The sequence below is a fragment of the Homo sapiens genome, chromosome 5, assembly GCF_000001405.40.
Source record: "Homo sapiens chromosome 5, GRCh38.p14 Primary Assembly".
In the NCBI taxonomy this organism is placed as follows: Eukaryota; Metazoa; Chordata; class Mammalia; order Primates; family Hominidae; genus Homo; species Homo sapiens.
In genome coordinates, this window is record NC_000005.10 from 147,565,284 (window position 1) to 147,582,284 (window position 17,001).

The 17,001-nt window shown below is 40.2% G+C and overlaps 1 long non-coding RNA gene across 1 annotated transcript in view, besides 3 other annotated features; it reads left to right on the plus strand.

Moving 5' to 3' along the window:
- JAKMIP2-AS1 (JAKMIP2 antisense RNA 1) overlaps positions 1–17,001 on the plus strand; it is a 102,016-nt gene that overhangs the window by 5,290 nt on the left and 79,725 nt on the right. The window lies entirely within an intron of this gene.
- Positions 1,533–2,432: an enhancer, noted in NCBI's record as "OCT4-NANOG-H3K27ac hESC enhancer chr5:146946379-146947278 (GRCh37/hg19 assembly coordinates)". NCBI's record gives its function as "activates a minimal SCP1, AML or CMV promoter by ChIP-STARR-seq in primed H9 embryonic stem cells {active_cell/tissue: H9 hESC(primed)}" and the evidence as "EXISTENCE:reporter gene assay evidence [ECO:0000049][PMID:30033119]".
- Positions 2,433–3,332: an enhancer, noted in NCBI's record as "OCT4-NANOG-H3K27ac-H3K4me1 hESC enhancer chr5:146947279-146948178 (GRCh37/hg19 assembly coordinates)". NCBI's record gives its function as "activates a minimal SCP1, AML or CMV promoter by ChIP-STARR-seq in naive H9 embryonic stem cells {active_cell/tissue: H9 hESC(naive)}" and the evidence as "EXISTENCE:reporter gene assay evidence [ECO:0000049][PMID:30033119]".
- Positions 3,333–4,232: an enhancer, noted in NCBI's record as "NANOG-H3K27ac-H3K4me1 hESC enhancer chr5:146948179-146949078 (GRCh37/hg19 assembly coordinates)". NCBI's record gives its function as "activates a minimal SCP1, AML or CMV promoter by ChIP-STARR-seq in primed H9 embryonic stem cells {active_cell/tissue: H9 hESC(primed)}" and the evidence as "EXISTENCE:reporter gene assay evidence [ECO:0000049][PMID:30033119]".

The window sequence follows — 17,001 nt, forward strand, 5'->3', positions numbered from 1 at the left end:
AGTTGCTGGGACTACAGGCGCCCACCACCACACACAGCTAATTTTTGTATTTTTAGTAGAGACGGGGTTTCACCGTGTTAGTCAGGATGGTAGTCCAGGAATTTTTTATTTTAAGTTGCCTCTTTAAACCCTGTAAAAAGAGTTTTTTGGTCAAATACATTTGAAAAACTCAGCATATTTGGAGATTCATAATGACCATTTGGATAAAGGTACTAAGCAGGCCTCTATGAAAATAACATCTTCCAGTGTTAATCAAATAAATGTGAACATAACGCATTTTTGTCATTGTTTTTGCTGCTGCTGCTGTTTGGAGTACAGAAAGGTGCACATATCAATATCCTGAAGAACACAGGTCCATGGATGCAGTTGACTCTAAGCTGACTCACCCAGCTGTCTGCTGTTAGCTCTAGTAGTGTTTGCATGCTGGGTGTCTAGTCATCAAAGAATGTTCTTCACATCAATTATGCTGACACCAGGCATTGTTCTAAAATAGTGACTCTAAAGAGAAGTAATTCTGTAGACCAGGAACTTAGTAGTTGTATCTGGTAGAACTAAGGCTGACTTATCTTGGGGGAAGCACTTTATCATGATATTGGGAACTTGCAGCAAAGTTTTGACTGGCCTTCAATCAGCTGAGTTTCCAAGATGCTTTTGTTATCAACTTGCTTCTGAAAACTTATTAAAAACTTCATTCCATCCTTCTTTCCTCTCAAAGTGTACAGAGTATATGAAAGGCAGAGTATTGGTGGGACCAAGAGGATACAGGTGTATGAAAAGAACGTGAGGGAAGGGAGAAAGAGAGGGAAAGAGAATGGTGAATGGTGATGCTGTGGTCTCTCAATTTGAATCTACATAATATGCAATATATAGATTAAAACATTACCCTTACCTGTATCTATACATATAGTCCGTTTTTTTGTTTTTGTTTTTTTCCCCGAGAAGGAGTTTCACTCTTGTTGCCAGGGGTGGAGTGCAATGGCACGATCTCGGCTCACTGTAACCTCTGCCTCCTGGGTTCAAGCAATTCTCCTGCCTCAGCCTCCCAACTAGCTGGCATTACAGGTGCCCACCACCACGCCCAGCTAATTTTTGTATTTTTAGTAGAGACGGGGTTTCACCATGTTGGTCAGGTTGGTCTCAAACTACTGACCTCAGGTGATCTACCTGCCTCGGCCTCCCAAAGTGCTGGGATTATAGGCATGAGCCACTGTGCCCAGCCAATAGTCTGTTTTTTGGAGAGTGGAAAAGCACTATACATAACCGATAACATTTCCAATTTTCATTTATGTATTTGCAGCTATATATGTGTAAATTTTGCCTTAATTTGGGTATGCCTAAATTTATGCCTTCTGTGAATTCCTTAGTATCTCACAGTTTGTGGCACTGTGTGATAAGATCTTCTGAATGCCTAACCTTTTTGGCCTGAGCCCACCCACTCTGTCTAATGCACTGTGTCTCTGGAAAATCTCTTTACCTTTAGTATTTGTCTCTGTAAACTGAAAATAATATCTCTGTTTCTGTTTTTTTTCTTTTTCTTTTTTTCTTTTCTTTTTTTTTTTTTGAGATGGAGTTTCTTTCTTGTTGCCCAGGCTGGAGTGCAATGGTGTGATTTCGGCTCACCACAACCTCCACCTCCCAGGTTCAAGCAATTCTCTTGCCTCAGCCTCCTGAGTAGCTGGGATTACAGGCATGCACCATCACGTCCGGTTAATTTTGTATTTTTAGTAGAGACAGGGTTTCTCCATGTTGGTCAAGCTGGTCTCGAACTACTTACCTCAGGTGATCCACCCACCTAGGCCTCCCAAAGTTCTGGGATTACAGGCATGAACCACCGCACCTGGCCCTGTTTCTGGGTTTTTATGAAGTAAATAATATAATGAAGTCATTCTCCAATACTTATCCATACATATATATGTGTGCCTGTATGTGTATGTACGTGTGTGTGTATGTGTGTGTATCTGTATACTGGACTAGGCACATAACAAAGTTTTTATAAGCCTGTAGTAAAATAAGAAAAATAAGATAAGTGTGAAGAGTGTTAAGTTTTACGCAGTTAGAAAAATGAATCCCAGCACTTTGGGAGGCCGAGGCGGGTAGATCACGAGGTCAAGAGATAGACACCATCCTGATCAACCAACATGGTGAAACCCCGTCTTTACGAAAAATACAAAAATTATCTGGGCATAGTGACGCACGCCTGTAGTCCCAGCTACAGGCTGAGGTAGGAGAATCACTTGAACCTGGGAGGTGGAGGTTGCAGTGAGCCAAGATTGCACCACTGCACTCCAGCCCAGGTTGACAGAGAGAGACTCTGTCTCAAAAAAAAGGGGGGGGGGAGTTTTTTCCATTCTTTTTGTTAAAAAATGTTACTTTACAAAACACCTTTTTGAGTTTTTTCCCACTATTTTACTAGTAAGGGAAATCTCAAAGTCCCAGAACCAGTGAGCTGATGATACAGAAATACTGGGCTCAACACAGATGTGAGTCAGTGTTCTTGTGAATTTTGCTATCTTTTTGAAGTTATCCCTCTTTTGATGTTAGTGGCATGTTGGTTTGCAATTGTTTGTCCAGCAACAAAGATAGAGAGTGTTCTTCAATTGTAATTATTTTTGGTGCCAGTCCCTCTTGAAAACAGTGTTTTTGAATGGCTGCCTTATAAATGCCATTGGTGCCTGTGGATCCAAGCAAGGTGAATTGCCCAAGGGTGAGGACCTCCTGGCTGTGGTCTCATTAGCACTGAGCTCCTGCAGGTGGCAACAGCCAATAGAACCGGTAGACAGCCACGGAATTTTCTTATCCAGATGTCTCTGGCCACATCACAAAGCCAAGTATTACTGCTCTCCTGTGAGTCATTGTTTGGCATTTTCTGTCTCTTCTCTCCCCTATTTATGTTAATTGTTACAGATTCATTTCTTAATTCATTTGACAGGCATTCACTGGGGTTCATTGTTTGTTAGGCATCATGCTGAGCACTTTAAATACTTTATTATCTCATTTAACTTACACAACAATTTAGTGAAGCAGCATTATTTTAATCCCTAATTTTCACAAATGAGGGACCAAGGCTTGAATGGCGATCTGGTTTGCAAGTGCCATTTCGCAAGCGAGTCACCTAGTTAGGTTCACATCCAGGTGTCTCATTTTCCAAAGGTCACAGTATTGATTATGGAAATACAAGGCGATTAGCAGACCCAGGAAGCCTTACGGTGGAAACGTTAAGAGCAGGGACTTTGGAACTATAAAGACCTCAGTTGTTGTTGCTTACGTTTTTAGTTTATTTGGAAAATCAGGATAATAATTGTGCCTAATTTTATGGTTCTTGTCACGATTCAATTATATAACGTATACAAAGCCCTAGAAACATACTAAGTTTTTTTCTTGTGAAGTGGTGTCTGTCAGTAACAATGTTAACAATAGTAATTGGACTGTGCTGTGGGCTGTATGAGACTTTGCCGAAGATGAGAAAATAAATCACAATGTTAAGTAAAGCAGGATGTTGAGGAGGAGGGTTCAGAGTTGGGTGGAAGCCTTGAAGGGCTGTAATGAGAGGCATGAAGGTATCTGGGCTCCAGTGTGGGAAGGGCTTCCTTGTTGAGTCCGTTTTGCCTGGTGGGCCCGGGCAACCTCACTGATGCAGGGTCCTAGCATGTGTCTGGCTGCCAAGTACATAGGGATTTGTACTTTTACACCTGCCAGGGAGGGATATGACCAAGTGAAGAATGAGGTTCATGCAGCCGAGACCCTGAGAAATGAGTCTGTACCGAAGAGAAGCTGGACTTGGCTCTCAAGGGGAAGCCCTCTACCCTGCCTGTCTGGCTCTTGTTGAGTAGTGGAGTCGGTCTTTGATGACCTTGGCCTAAAACTCTTCATAATAGTCCAAGAACTGAAAAATTAGGATCCTTTGGCAGCTGCTGGCATGTTCTGAACCATAAAGTTTGCATTTACTCCATGGCTGGAAACCAGCTGCCCCGTGGAGTGAAAGAGGAGGGGGTTCTCTATGTGTAAGAACCTGAAAGGAGAAAATTACTGTGGAAGGAAATGAAGTAATGACATAGCCTTTCTGCCAGACTGGGGGATCTTAGCCACGATTTAGATATTTCCAGAGACTAAAATCCACCGTTACGGTGAATATTTAGAAGCTGGCAAAATTTAGGGAGTGTGTCATGTTTATTTATCATTTACTTACATACATTTTCAATGTAGACAAGATGTCTAAGGAATTATAACTTCTCTAGAAGATGATTCATTTCTCTTGTTTTTCTTTGTTTGTTTGTTTTTTTGAGATGGAGTCTTGCGCTGTCACCCAGGCTGGAGTGCAGTGACGCAATTCCTCTTCGTTTTTATCTTGGGTGCTTATGTCTGAGAAGTCTGAGCAACAATGGGCTTAATTTGAGTGATTTTTTGTGTAGTTCTTGTTCATCTATACGTATACATATTCCCCACTACCCTTTTACAGTTACGCCCATCCCTTCCCTCCATAACCCCTGGCAACCACCAATTTGTTTCCCATCTCCATAATTTTTGTCACTTTGAGAATGTTATTGTCAATGAAATCATACTGCAGGTGATTTTTTGAGATTGGACCTTTTCACTCAGCATAATGCCTTTGAGATCCAACCAAGCTGCATGTATCAGTAGTTAACTGTTTTTTGTTTATTTGTTTTTTGAGACTGGGTTTCACTTTTGTTGCCCAGGCTAGAGTGCAATGGTGCCATCTTGGCTCACTGCTAGCTCCGGCTCCCAGGTTTAAGTGATTCTCCTGCCTCAGCCTCCCAAGTAGTTGGGATTACAAGTGCAAACCACCACACTGGGCTAATTTTTGTTTGTTTGTTTGTTTGTTTGTATTTTTAGTAGAAACAGGGTTTCACCATGTTGGCCAGACTAGTCTGGAACTCTTGACCTCAGGCGATTCCCCTGCCTCTGCCTCCCAAAGTGCTAGGATTACAGGCGTGAGCCACCGCCTGGCCAGTTCACTGTTTTTTATTGCCAAGTAATGTTCTATGGTATAGACCAGTTAGTTTAAGAATTCCTCTCTTGAACAGACATTTTCGTTGATCCATTTTTGGAAATTACAAATAAAACTGTTATGACCAATTATGTACAAAATTTGTTTGGATATAAGTTTGTATTTCTCTAGGATAAATGCCCAGGAGTGTGGTTGCTTGGTTGTATGGTAAGTGTATTTTCTTTTAAGAACATAAGACCACATATTTCATGATTTCATTTATATAAAACCTTTCCTTTTGGTCAGGCATGGTATGTTCCCGCCTGTAGTCCCAGCACTTTAGGAGGCCAAGGTGGGAGGATCACTTGAGCCCAGGAGTTTGAGACCAGCCTGGACAATATAGTGAGACCCTGTCTCTACAAAAAATAAAGAAAAACATTAGCTGAGTGTGGTAGCAGGAAGCTGTAGTCCCCGCTACTCAGGAGGCTGCAGTGGGAGGATTGCTTGAGCTAGACAGGTCAAGGCTGCAGTGAGCTATGAGCACACCACTGCACTCCAGCCTGGGCAGCAGGGCCAGACTGTGTCTCAAAAATAAATAAATAAAAATTTTCTTTTAAGAGAGTATCATACTGTTTTCCAGGAGACATATCATTTTGCATTGCTTCCAGCAATGTATAAAAGACCCAGTTTCTCCAAATCCTCATTAGCATTTGGTATTGTCAGTATTTTTTATGTAGTGATCTCTCAATCATAGTTGTTTTTTTTTTTTTTTGAAACAGAGTTTTGCTCTTGTCGCCCAGGCTGGAGTGGAATGGCACGATCTTGGCTCACTGCAAGCTCTGCCTCCCAGGTTCAAGCGATTCTCTTGCCTTAGCCTCCCCAGTAGCTGGGATTACAGGCACCTGCCACCATGCCCAGTGAATTTTTTTTGTATTTTTAGTAGAGACGGGAGTTTCACCATGTTGGCCAGGCTCGTCTTAAACTCCTGACCTCGTGATCCACCCGCCTTGGCCTCCTAAACTGCTGGGATCACAGGCATGAGCCATCGCACCTGGCCCAAGAGTTCTTTATGTATTTTAGATACACATGTTTCTTATCAGATATATGGTTTTCCAAATTTTCTCCTAATGTGTGGGTTGCCTTTTCACTTTCTTGGTAGTGTTCTTTGAAGCACAAAAGTTCTTAATTTTAATGCTGTCTAGTTTATCTATTTTTTTCTTTTGTGGCTTTTGCTTTTGGTGTCATACGTAAGAAACTGTTACCTTATCCACAATCATGAAGATTTAGACCCCCTTTCTAAGAGTTTTAGCTTTTACATTTAGGTCTGCGATACATTGTGAGTTGATTTTTGTATAGAATGTAAGGTAGATGTCCATATTCATTCTTTTACATGTAGGTACACATTGTCCCAGCAGCATTTGTTGAAAAGACTCTTTTCTTCCTATTTGATTGTCGTGGCACTTTTGTCAACAATCAGTTGACTGTATGCCATATTTTTTATAGTTGTTTTTTCCTATCTCAAATTTCCGGTTCCTGAGAACTGAATAAATGAACCTTCCAAATGATTAGCTAAAGCTGGATCTAAAGCCCCAGGGGCAATGGTTGTTTTTTTTTTTTTTTTTTTTTTTTTTTGAGACGGAATCTCTCTCTGTGGCCCAGGCTGGAGTGCAGTGGCGCGATCTAGGCTCACTGCAAGCTCCGCCTCCCAGGTTCATGCTATTCTCCTGCCTCAGCCTCCCGGGACTACAGGTGCCCGCCACCATGCCCACCTAATTTTTTTGTGTTTTTAGTAGAGAAGGAGTTTCACTGTGTTAGCCAGGGTGGTCTTGATCTCCTGACCTCGTGATCCACCCGCCTCGGTCTCCCAAAGTGTTGGGATTACAGGCGTGAGCCACCGCGCCCAGCTGGCAATCGTTTTCAATGCTGTGAAGAGTTACTTGTTCTTAACCTTAAGCGAGATCCAGACACTTTTTAGAGAGCAACTTTGGATTTGGAAGAGAAAAAATAGAATCCATTGGCTTTGGCAGTTGGAGGGGAGAAGGGGACTAGGAGGAAAAGGTAGAGAATATATGACAATCCTAAAGGTTGATTTTCCTTCTTTTCAGTTATATTTTTAATTATTCTTGGGTTTCGTTTGTTGGTGTGGCCTTCCTCTATTCTCCAGAGAGTATAATATAGCCTCACATTAGACAAATACAGGTTCAAATTCTAGATCTTTTTTTAACCTGTTTGATTTTTCAATCTTCAGTTTCTTCTTTTGCAAAATCAGGATAATCATAATATATACCTCAAAGGATTATTATGAATTTTAAATAATAAAAATAAATCACTTGGCATAGTGCCATGACATATTAAAAATATTAGCTATTATTATTTTTCCTATCCAGTACCAAAAGTTATATGTTGTGTGTTCCATTCCTTTAGTTCTTGTTGCATGAAATAAAATAAACTGCTAATCTGATTTTTAAAAAATCCTTACTAATCTCTTAGTAGGTATGAAATATTTTTCTTTTGTGGGAGTAGGGAAGATTTCAATTCCTTTTAAGCTTTAATTTCCTGAGTGTGTTACAAAGTGCATTGAATTATATTTGACATATGGAGGTTCTAAAGCCATGTCAGGCTTCTATTAACATATGATAATAGAAAGCAATAGGAAGTCCAGCAATCTGTGAGATCCCATGGCCCTTCCACTTCCTCCCCATGGCTGTAGGCACACCGCCCATCTTCTGTGAGCTTCACTTTCACCACTCCTAAAATGGGGATGAAATATCAGCCTGGACTGTTGTTCAGATTGCTATGACACTCAAAGGAGGTAAAAACTGTGCTGAGTTTTTAAAATTATAAAGCTGGCTAGATCTGTAATGTGGTTTAGCTCATTACTGAAATATTTAGCAAAGTAAACCCTGTGACAAAACATCAAAATTAACATTTTAATTTTTTATTAATACTGTATTATCATATTGGTGGCCTCGAGATATAGATAAAAAGAGGACAGTGTGGTCAAAAGCTTCAGCTAATGAAACAGAGCAGGAAGTCAAATATAAAAAGCCTAGTTGTCAATCAAGGTTCTAAGGCATTTTGAAGTTAATGTTCAGTGTTTTTGCATTTTTTTTTTCTGAAACCTTAGTGGGCTGAATCTCTCAATGCCTCCTTTCTTAGCGCTATGGTCTCTGAGAACAGGAAATACAATAACTCAACTTATAATTTTAAAGGCCTTAATTTTAGAGCCAAAACATGGTCCCACAGGCTCTGGTCTCATCATCTATGAAATCTGATACTCCACTGTATGGGTATAAATATATATGTGTGTGTGTGTGATTTGAAGTTTACTGATTCTTACAGTTTAACATCAGGTTCTTCTGTTAAGTTCAATTAAATTATTTACATGTATTTAAAAATAGAATCTATTTTGGAACTCTATTTCTCTAAAAGTAGCATCAACTCTTTCCTTTTCTATCTGTATATGTACACCAAAAGATGTCTAGAATGCTGTCCACCTAATGATAATCACGATTATTTCTGTGTGGTATGATTTTGGGGCAAACTTTGCTGTCATCTACGTATTTTCCTATATTGCTTGAGGGTTTTTTAATATAGCTTTTTTATCTTAAAATAGTTATAAACTCTACAGTAAGTTGGCAAATTAGCACATAGTGCACCATACCTTTCACTTAGCGTCTCCCTATGGTAACAACTTAAGTAACTAGAATAAAATGGCAAAATCAGGAAACTGCCATTGGGACCGTGCAAACTGCAGACTGTATTCAGATTTCACCAGTTTTTCCATGCACTCATTTGTGCTGTTACTCCACCTTAACTCTACGTATTCCTTTGTAGCCCTGCTATGAGGGGTGGGGTTGGGTAGGGAGCATATTGAACTTGACAGGGATAAACACACACCTGCTTTGAAAAGTCACACTGTTTGTCATTGGCCGGAAGTAACCTCATCCTTCCAAAATTATTGGTAGTGATGTGCCTGAGCTGGCTTGTGTCAGTCCTGGAGGCCATTTGTTAAATATTTAGGAATTTTGTCATTGGTAGTTTGAAATCAGCTATGGTGAAATAATTACCTTGAAGAAATCTGCAGAGTATAAATCAAGCCCCCCACCCTCGCTTCCTAGAGCCTGTTTACCAACACAATACTCTTGGTACGACATTTACAGTTGTCCTGGTTAATCCCCGTTCCCCATGTGCCTCTCATCTGGGTCTCTCAGTAAAACATATTTCCCTAATAGGACATTCCCTTATCATACATGATGCTTCTTTTCCTTTCAGGGTTTCCAAATAGAGCAGCTAAATAATTTAGTAAAAAGGCAAGGCTTTCTGTTAATGGATTCTAATATCTTATTATATGATCCTTCTGGGTAAATTACCTCCATTTTGCCCAGGGACTTCCTGGAATATAGATACATATTTAACTCCAAGACGACATTTGAGGATGTGTGTGTTTGCGGGGGTAGCGATTGGGTAGAATCCTTTCAGCCCCCCTCAGTTCCCACCAAGCAGGCAGCTGTTGATCTCACGCACACTCAGGGGCCTTCACTCCTCCTGGTCCTGTCCCTTTCCTTCTAGAAATGCCAGAAATGCAGGGACTCACTGAGTCCCTTCTGTTGAGGCAGATCACGGGAACTGGGAAAAGAACCTTGGTTTAAACTTGAAAAGGAAGTAAAAAACCTTAGGGATTCTTTGTGGATAACAGTGTGGATTCATAACCTTCTAGGTAGTGAAGCGCCATATCCTTTTGTCTTTAGTGAGAAAGACAGAGCAGTGAAAAAGAGGGAAGTGAGCTATGTTCCCTCTTAATCCTTAGTACATTAATTGGAACAGAAAAAGAGGAAAACAAAAACAAGACAAAACGTTCCTATTCTCTATCCTCCCCTTGTCTAAAAGTGTTGCTAACATTTAATAGATGTGTAGATTAGCTCTTACATGTGTAGCCTATTCCAGGTGTAGCCTGTTCCAGGTGCATGGAGGAATATTAAAGACATTTATTAAAGACATTTATATTAAAGACATTTATGTCTGGAGGCAAAATTACACTGGCAACATAATAGTGAAATGAACATAAGCTTTGGAATCAGATCTGAATTCGGATTCTGACTTGGCCACTTATTGGCTGAATAAATCTGGGCAAGTTACTAAACTTTTATTTGTTACTTTCTTCCTTAGTAAATGCAAATTTGTTAGGAGCATGAATGATAATGATTGGGCTTCTACCCTGTACCAGGCATTTTATGAATATTTTAAATAATGTTTTAATTTAATTTAATTCAATCCTTACCATAAGCCCAGATTATATTATTTTTATTTTATGGATGAGAAAATTGAGCCTCAGAGATGTTCATTAAGTCGATCAAGGTCATATAGCTAATGGGGAACAGAGCTGGGATTCAAACATAGTATTCTAAAGCCTATATCCTCAGATCACTCTAGAGGCCATATAGCCAATTTAAAAATGCATGAAAAATTTTTATACATCGTAGGGACTCAGTCATTGTTATATTGTTATTTATTTAATATATAGTGAATTATATGTTAGTTATATTGATAATTATATTAAGATATATTATATAGGATTATATAATAAACTTTAATTATTAGTAGTAGTATTATTTTTTGAGACTGGGTCTCACTCTGTCACCCAGGCTGGAGTGCAGTGGTACGATCTTGGCCCACTGCAACCTCTATCTCCCGGGTTCAACTGATTCTCGGGCCTCAGCCTCCCAGATAGCTGGGACTACAGGTGCCCACCACCATGCCCAGCTAATTTTTGTGTTTTTAGTATAGACAGGGGTTTCACCAGGTTGGCCAGGCTGGTCTCGAACTCCTGACCTCAAGCGATCCACCTGCCTCGACCTCCCAAAGTGCTGGGATTACAGGTGTGAGCTACCGTGCCTGGCCGGATTATATAATATAAATTAATTTTATTATAATATAAAATAATTACATTGTTATTTTTAGGGAAAGTTCACTAAACTTGAAGTCAGATGATCTGACCCAGGTCTTGGCTCAACCATTTAGTAGCTCCACCAGTAGGCAAGTCACTTACACAGTATTCTCTCTCTCTGTTTTTGAGATGGAGTTTTTGCTCTTGTCACCCAGGCTGGAGTGCAGTGGAGTGATCTCAGCTTACTTCAACCTCTGCCTCCCGGGTTCAAGCAATTCTCTGGCCTCAGCTTCCCGAGTAGCTGGGATTATAAGGCTGTGCCACCACGCCCGGCTAATTTTTGTATTTTTAGTACAGACAGGGTTTTACCACGTTGGCCAGGCTGGTCTCAAACTCCTGACCTCGGGTGATCCACCAGCCTCGGTCTCCCAAAGTGCTGGGATTACAGGCATAAGCCACTGCACCCATTTTTTTTGTTTGTTTGTTTTGTTTTGTTTTTGTTTTTGTTTTGTTGCTCAGGCTGGAGTGCAGTGGTGTGATCTCGGCTCACTGCAACCTCCACCTCCCAGACTCAAGTGATCCTCCTGCCTCAGCCTCCACAGTAGCTGGGATTATAGGCGCTTGCTACCATGCCTAGAGACAGGGTTTTGCCATGTTGGCCAGGCTAGTCCAGGCTGGTCTCGAACTCCTGAGCTCAAGGGATCCTCCTGCCTCAGTCTCCCAAAGTGCTGGGTTTACAGGCTGAGCCATGGCGCCTGGCCCACTTACATAGTTTTCTCATTCATATTCAGGCATGCCTGCCACATTGTAGTTGTTCAATAAATGTTTGGTAAAAAAAAAAAAAAAAAAAAAGAAAGAATGAAAAAATGAATATTCTTAAGGTCCTTTTCAGGTCTTAAAAAATGACTCCTGTTGTGATAGTGACACACGAAAAATTAAACAATTGATGATCAAATGAAAAGTTAATTGTCAGTGATGTCTGAGAGGCGCCCCAAACCACAGCGGTTTTTCTACAGCGACGCCCTGTGGTGTCGGTGAGTACTGCGAGGGCTAGCTACTGCAGGGCCTGGTTCTCGGCATTTTTGCCTAAGATTTGTTTGTTCTTCCTCTACAAACTATTAAGCCAATCCTGAACAGGAAGACTTTTTTTTTTTGGTTATTTAAATAAATCACTGCTTATTTACTCAACGTTGCAGTGCTCTTGGTGATGATGTTTTGCTTAGCTTTTTCAGAGAGCACCAGGAATCAGGGGAGGATGATGAAGGCAGGGTGTCTGGGTAAGAGGCATCCTTTCATGCTCCTGTTTTTTCAGGCTTTATACGCTCGTATTATCCTTCTGCACTTTATCCCTTTATACTAACAGATGAACTGAACAACATAATTAATAAAAGTGTGATTTATTGAGCCTTTACTATATAGCACACATTGCAACTTTTTGTGTGAATCCTGTTACATATCTTATTTAATTTTCTCAACAGCCTGACAAGGTAAATGGTATGATTATCCCATTTGGGGGCAGATTTAAAATGCTCAAGTCGCTTCTTCAATGACACATACCTAGTGGCAGAGATAGAATTAGGACCCAGTCCGTATGTCTCCTATATACATATTGCCTCTTGTAACAGAATAGAAAGAAAAATAGATCAGAAGGAGTAAAAGCCAGCATCACTGGATCTCTGCTTAATTTCCATTTGTAATTAAAATAAAATTAAAGCACCTGGCTTATTTTGAATGGCGCTTTCCCATAGCAGCCCCTAATAACTGAGGAGGTACAGCACTAAGAAGCAGGGATCCTTGGTCAATTACCGAGTGACTTATAAAATGCCGTTTATGGTTAGGAATGGCAGACTAATGAAATAAAAGCTTATCTAGCTAATGTTTTGTAAGAACAAGAAGAAATTATTGCTGTTTTTTCATTCTTGGGATTCTTGGGCGGTAACTTTTTGTTAAATTGTCTTTTTTTTTTCTTTAAAAATCCCTTTAAGAAACATAAAATGTTCCGGCAAAAATATTTAAAACATTAACAATATTATTTTAAAAAATCAAGGTCATCCACACAATGGGAAAAACTCTAGACACAATAACATACCTTTGCTTGTCGGTTCTCTGGGGAAAACTTGTTTCAGAGGTGGGGAATTAGGGAGTGAATCTGATGAACTGCCTTGACCTCTTTTATCTGGCGTCTGACCAAGTCTGAAACTATTTGGAGGTCGCTAAGTTTCGCTGGGTCTTTGTATTTGGAAATGAATTTGCTGCCTGCGGCGAAGAAAGCAATCCAGCCTCCCTGAAATAAGGAGAGGCTACAAAACCCGAGATAGTGAACAATCATGCCGGAGGAATGGACAAAGCAATGCTTATGTTTAGGTTATTACTTTCATATGGATGTGGGGAATTGAAATGCAAAACCAAGGGGCATCAAAATATCACATAAAATCAGCTTTAGGTTTTCCTTGAGCTCACACTTTTTTCCCTGGACTTGTGGAAAAATGCTACCCTCCTGTGGTCAGACAGTAGAATACAGAAAAACAGAGACCTTTGACCAGGAAAATAAGGTGAAATTGAACAGGGAATGTGGTGATCTATTCGTAAGTGTTTTCTGAAGAGCTTATGGCTTATCAAAAAGACACCTTCAGAAAAGAAAAAAAAAAAAAGAACAACAGAAAGAAAGGAAAGAATAACAAAACAAACAAAAAGCTAAGAATAACAACAAAATTACTTTCCAATAAAATGGCCCAGTTAACCTATTTCCACCTTCATGGGGACTTCTCTGAGCATTCAAACAAGAAGCAATTGCTCCCTCCACAATTCAATACATAAATACTAGAATTAAAATAATACACCAAGACTCTGCTGTGTGCTAGGACCTGTGCTAGGTGCTGGGAATGAAAAGCTGACAAAGGAATATCTCTTCCCTCAAATAACTCAGATTTCATGGGGCATTAAGTGGAAAGGGACAGAACAAGTAACTTTATTTATTTATTTATTTATTTATTTTTGAGACAAAGTTTCGCTCTTGTTGCCCAGGCTGGAGTGCAATGGCACGATCTTGGCTCACTGCAACCTCCACCTCCCAGGTTCAAGCAATTCTCCTGCCTCAGCCTCCCCAGTAGCTGGTATTACAGGCATGCGCCACCATGCCCAGCTAATTTTGTATTTTTAGTAGAGATGGGTTTTCTCCATGTTGGTCAGGCTGGTCTCGAACTCCCGACCTCAGGTGATCCACCTGCCTCGGCCTCCCAAAATGTTGGGATTACAGGTGTGAGCCACGGTGCCCGGCCTGTAACTTTAATATACATGGTAAATAGCATGATAGGTACACATAGAGTGCGAGATCAAAGAATATTTTGTTCTGCTCTTAAAGAAGATGATGGCTGAGTCTTCCAGTAGCAATAAGATTTAAACAGGTAGCTGGGCACGGTGGCTCACGCCTGTAATCCTAACACTTTGGGAGACTGAGGCGGGTGGATCATGAGGTCCAGAGTTCGAGACCAGACTGACCAACATGGTGAAACCCCCATCTCTACTAAAAATACAGGAGTTAGCCGGGCATGGTGGTGGCACACTCCTGTAATCCCTGCTACTTGGGAGGCTGAGGCAGCAGAATCACTTGAACCCAGGAGGTGGAGGTTGCGGTGAGCTGAGATCGTGCCACTGTACTCCAGCCTGGGTGACAGAACGAGACTCTGTCTCAAAAAAAAAAAAAAAAAAAAAGAAAAGATAAAAAGATTTATCTAGACAAAAAAATAGGAAAAACATTTCTAGACATAAAGAGCAGCATATAGCAAAAAATCCACAGCATGAATTTGCCTCAAAGCCTGCATAAATACCAGCTCTTTTGACCTGCCAAGGTCTAAGTGTATGTGTGTGTCTGTTTGTGTTGGAGAAGATGGGACAGTGTCACCTGTGTGTTGCGGGAAGTCAGGGACCCCAAACAGAGGGATCGGCTCAAGTCGCAGCAGAAGAGCATAATTTGTGAAGATTTCATGGACATGTACCAGTTCCCAAAATTAATACATTTATAATTTCTTACACCCGTCTTTACTGCAGTCTCTGAACATAAATTGTGAAGATTTCATGGACATTTATCACTTCCCCAATCAATACTCTTATATTCCTATGCCTGTCTTTACTTTAATCTCTTAATCCTGTCATCTTCGTAAGCTGAGTATGAATGTCACCTCAGGACCCTGTGATGATTGCATTAACTGTACAAATTATTTGTAAAACGTGTGTTTGAACAATATGAAATCAGTGCACCCTGAAAAAGAACAGAATAACAGCAATTTTCAGGGAACAAGGAAAGATAACCATAAGGTCTGACTGCCTTTGGGGTTGGGCAGAATAGAGCCATATTTTTCTTCTTGCGGAAAGCCTATAGATGGATGTGCATGTAGGAGGAATATCGCTGAATTCTTTTCCCAGCAAGGAATCCTGGGGAAGGAATGCATTCCTGGGGGTAGGTCTATAGATGGCCGCTCTGGGAGTGTCTGTCTTATGCGGTTGAGATAAAGACTGAAATACGCCCTGGTCTCCTGCAGTACCCTCAGGCTTACTAGGATTGGGAAATTCCAGTCTGGTAAATTCTAGTCAGATCGGTTGTCTGCTCTCGAACCCTGTTTCCTGATAAGATGTTTATCAAGACAATGCATGCACAGCAGGACATAGAACCTCATCAGTAATTCTAATTTTGCCTTGCCTTGTGATCTTTATTGCCCTTTGAAGCATGTAATCTTTGTGACTTACTCCCTGTTCATACACCACCTCCCCTTCTAAAATCTCAAACAAAAACTTGCTGGTTTTGCGGCTCGAGGTCACCATCACGGTCCTACCAATATGTGATGACACCCCCGGAGGCCCAGCTGTAAAATTTCTCTCTTTACACTCTCTCTGTTTCTCAGACCGGCCGACACTTAGGGAAAATAGAAAGAACCTACATTGAAATATTGAAATATCCCTCCATACCTGTGTAAGGTAAGTGTCCCAGGACATAAATGGTCATGCTGAGGAGAGAGTTTGACTTTATTTTCTAGTGCTGGATTAGATAAAACAGTATGCTTGTGTTTCATTTGGCTAAAGTCTCTTACTCCACTCCTAAATCCCATATTTATATTAAATGCTTAGTTCCCATAAGTATCTGAGAGTCAACCACAGGTGCTAATGGGAATGGGAAACAAAGAAGGAATTTTAAAGAGGAGAACAACCTGGTATGATTTGCACATGAAATCAAGCTGAAAACAATGAGTAAGGTGTATTTTAAGGTGGCAAAACTTGAGTTAGCTAATTTAGGAAGTTGCTGCAAGAGTTGAGGTGAAAAACTCTTGGAAGTGATGAAGAATAGAGGATAGATTGCAGAACTAAAATAAATAGGACTTCGGAAGAATTAGTTGTAGAGGGTGAGGGAAAAAAAGGAGATGACAATTAAGTTCACGAACCCACCATATTTCCATCTAACATCTCTCAGTGAGTTGGGGAAGGTAGCAGAAGGTGCAGGTCTGGAATGAAAGATTCATTCAGGATACTTAGTAGCTTGTGGTATCCTTATGGCTTTAACCATCCTGTGCTGAGTTCTACTTTATTGTTACAGCTTTATCTGTCTGACTTTACTGTAAGGTCACTGAGAGCAAGGACTAAGTCTTCTCTATCTCAATATTCCTTAAAATACATTTTGAAAAATAACTCATTAAGTTATTAAAAATATCATTCTCAAACAAACATGTATCCAAATGTCATATACCTTGTTAATTAAAGGAACCAGTAGAATGACTGAGCTGGTTTGAGAAGAAATTGAAGGATGGGGTAAGACCTGCTGAAATGAAAGCTGTATGTTAGAAACAAAAGTAGTTAATGTGCTTATAGGACAAAAACTCAATCTTTATTTGCATGGTTTTATTTTTTCTATCAAGTTGAAAAACGCATCATACCTTATCATTTTTCTATGAATTAGCCTCTACCTTGATAGAATTGTAAAACTTCTGAGCTCTCTTGAATCATTGTATTTCCCCAATTGGAATATTATAAACTACAGAGAAACTATAGAGACATATACTTCTTATTTGCCTTATGTCTAAGTTTTGAATATTTTTTTCTACACACATTTCTGTGGTGGCTCTAAGAATATTTAATGTGCATTTTTTATATTGAATACATATCTTATGACTGTACAAAAAAG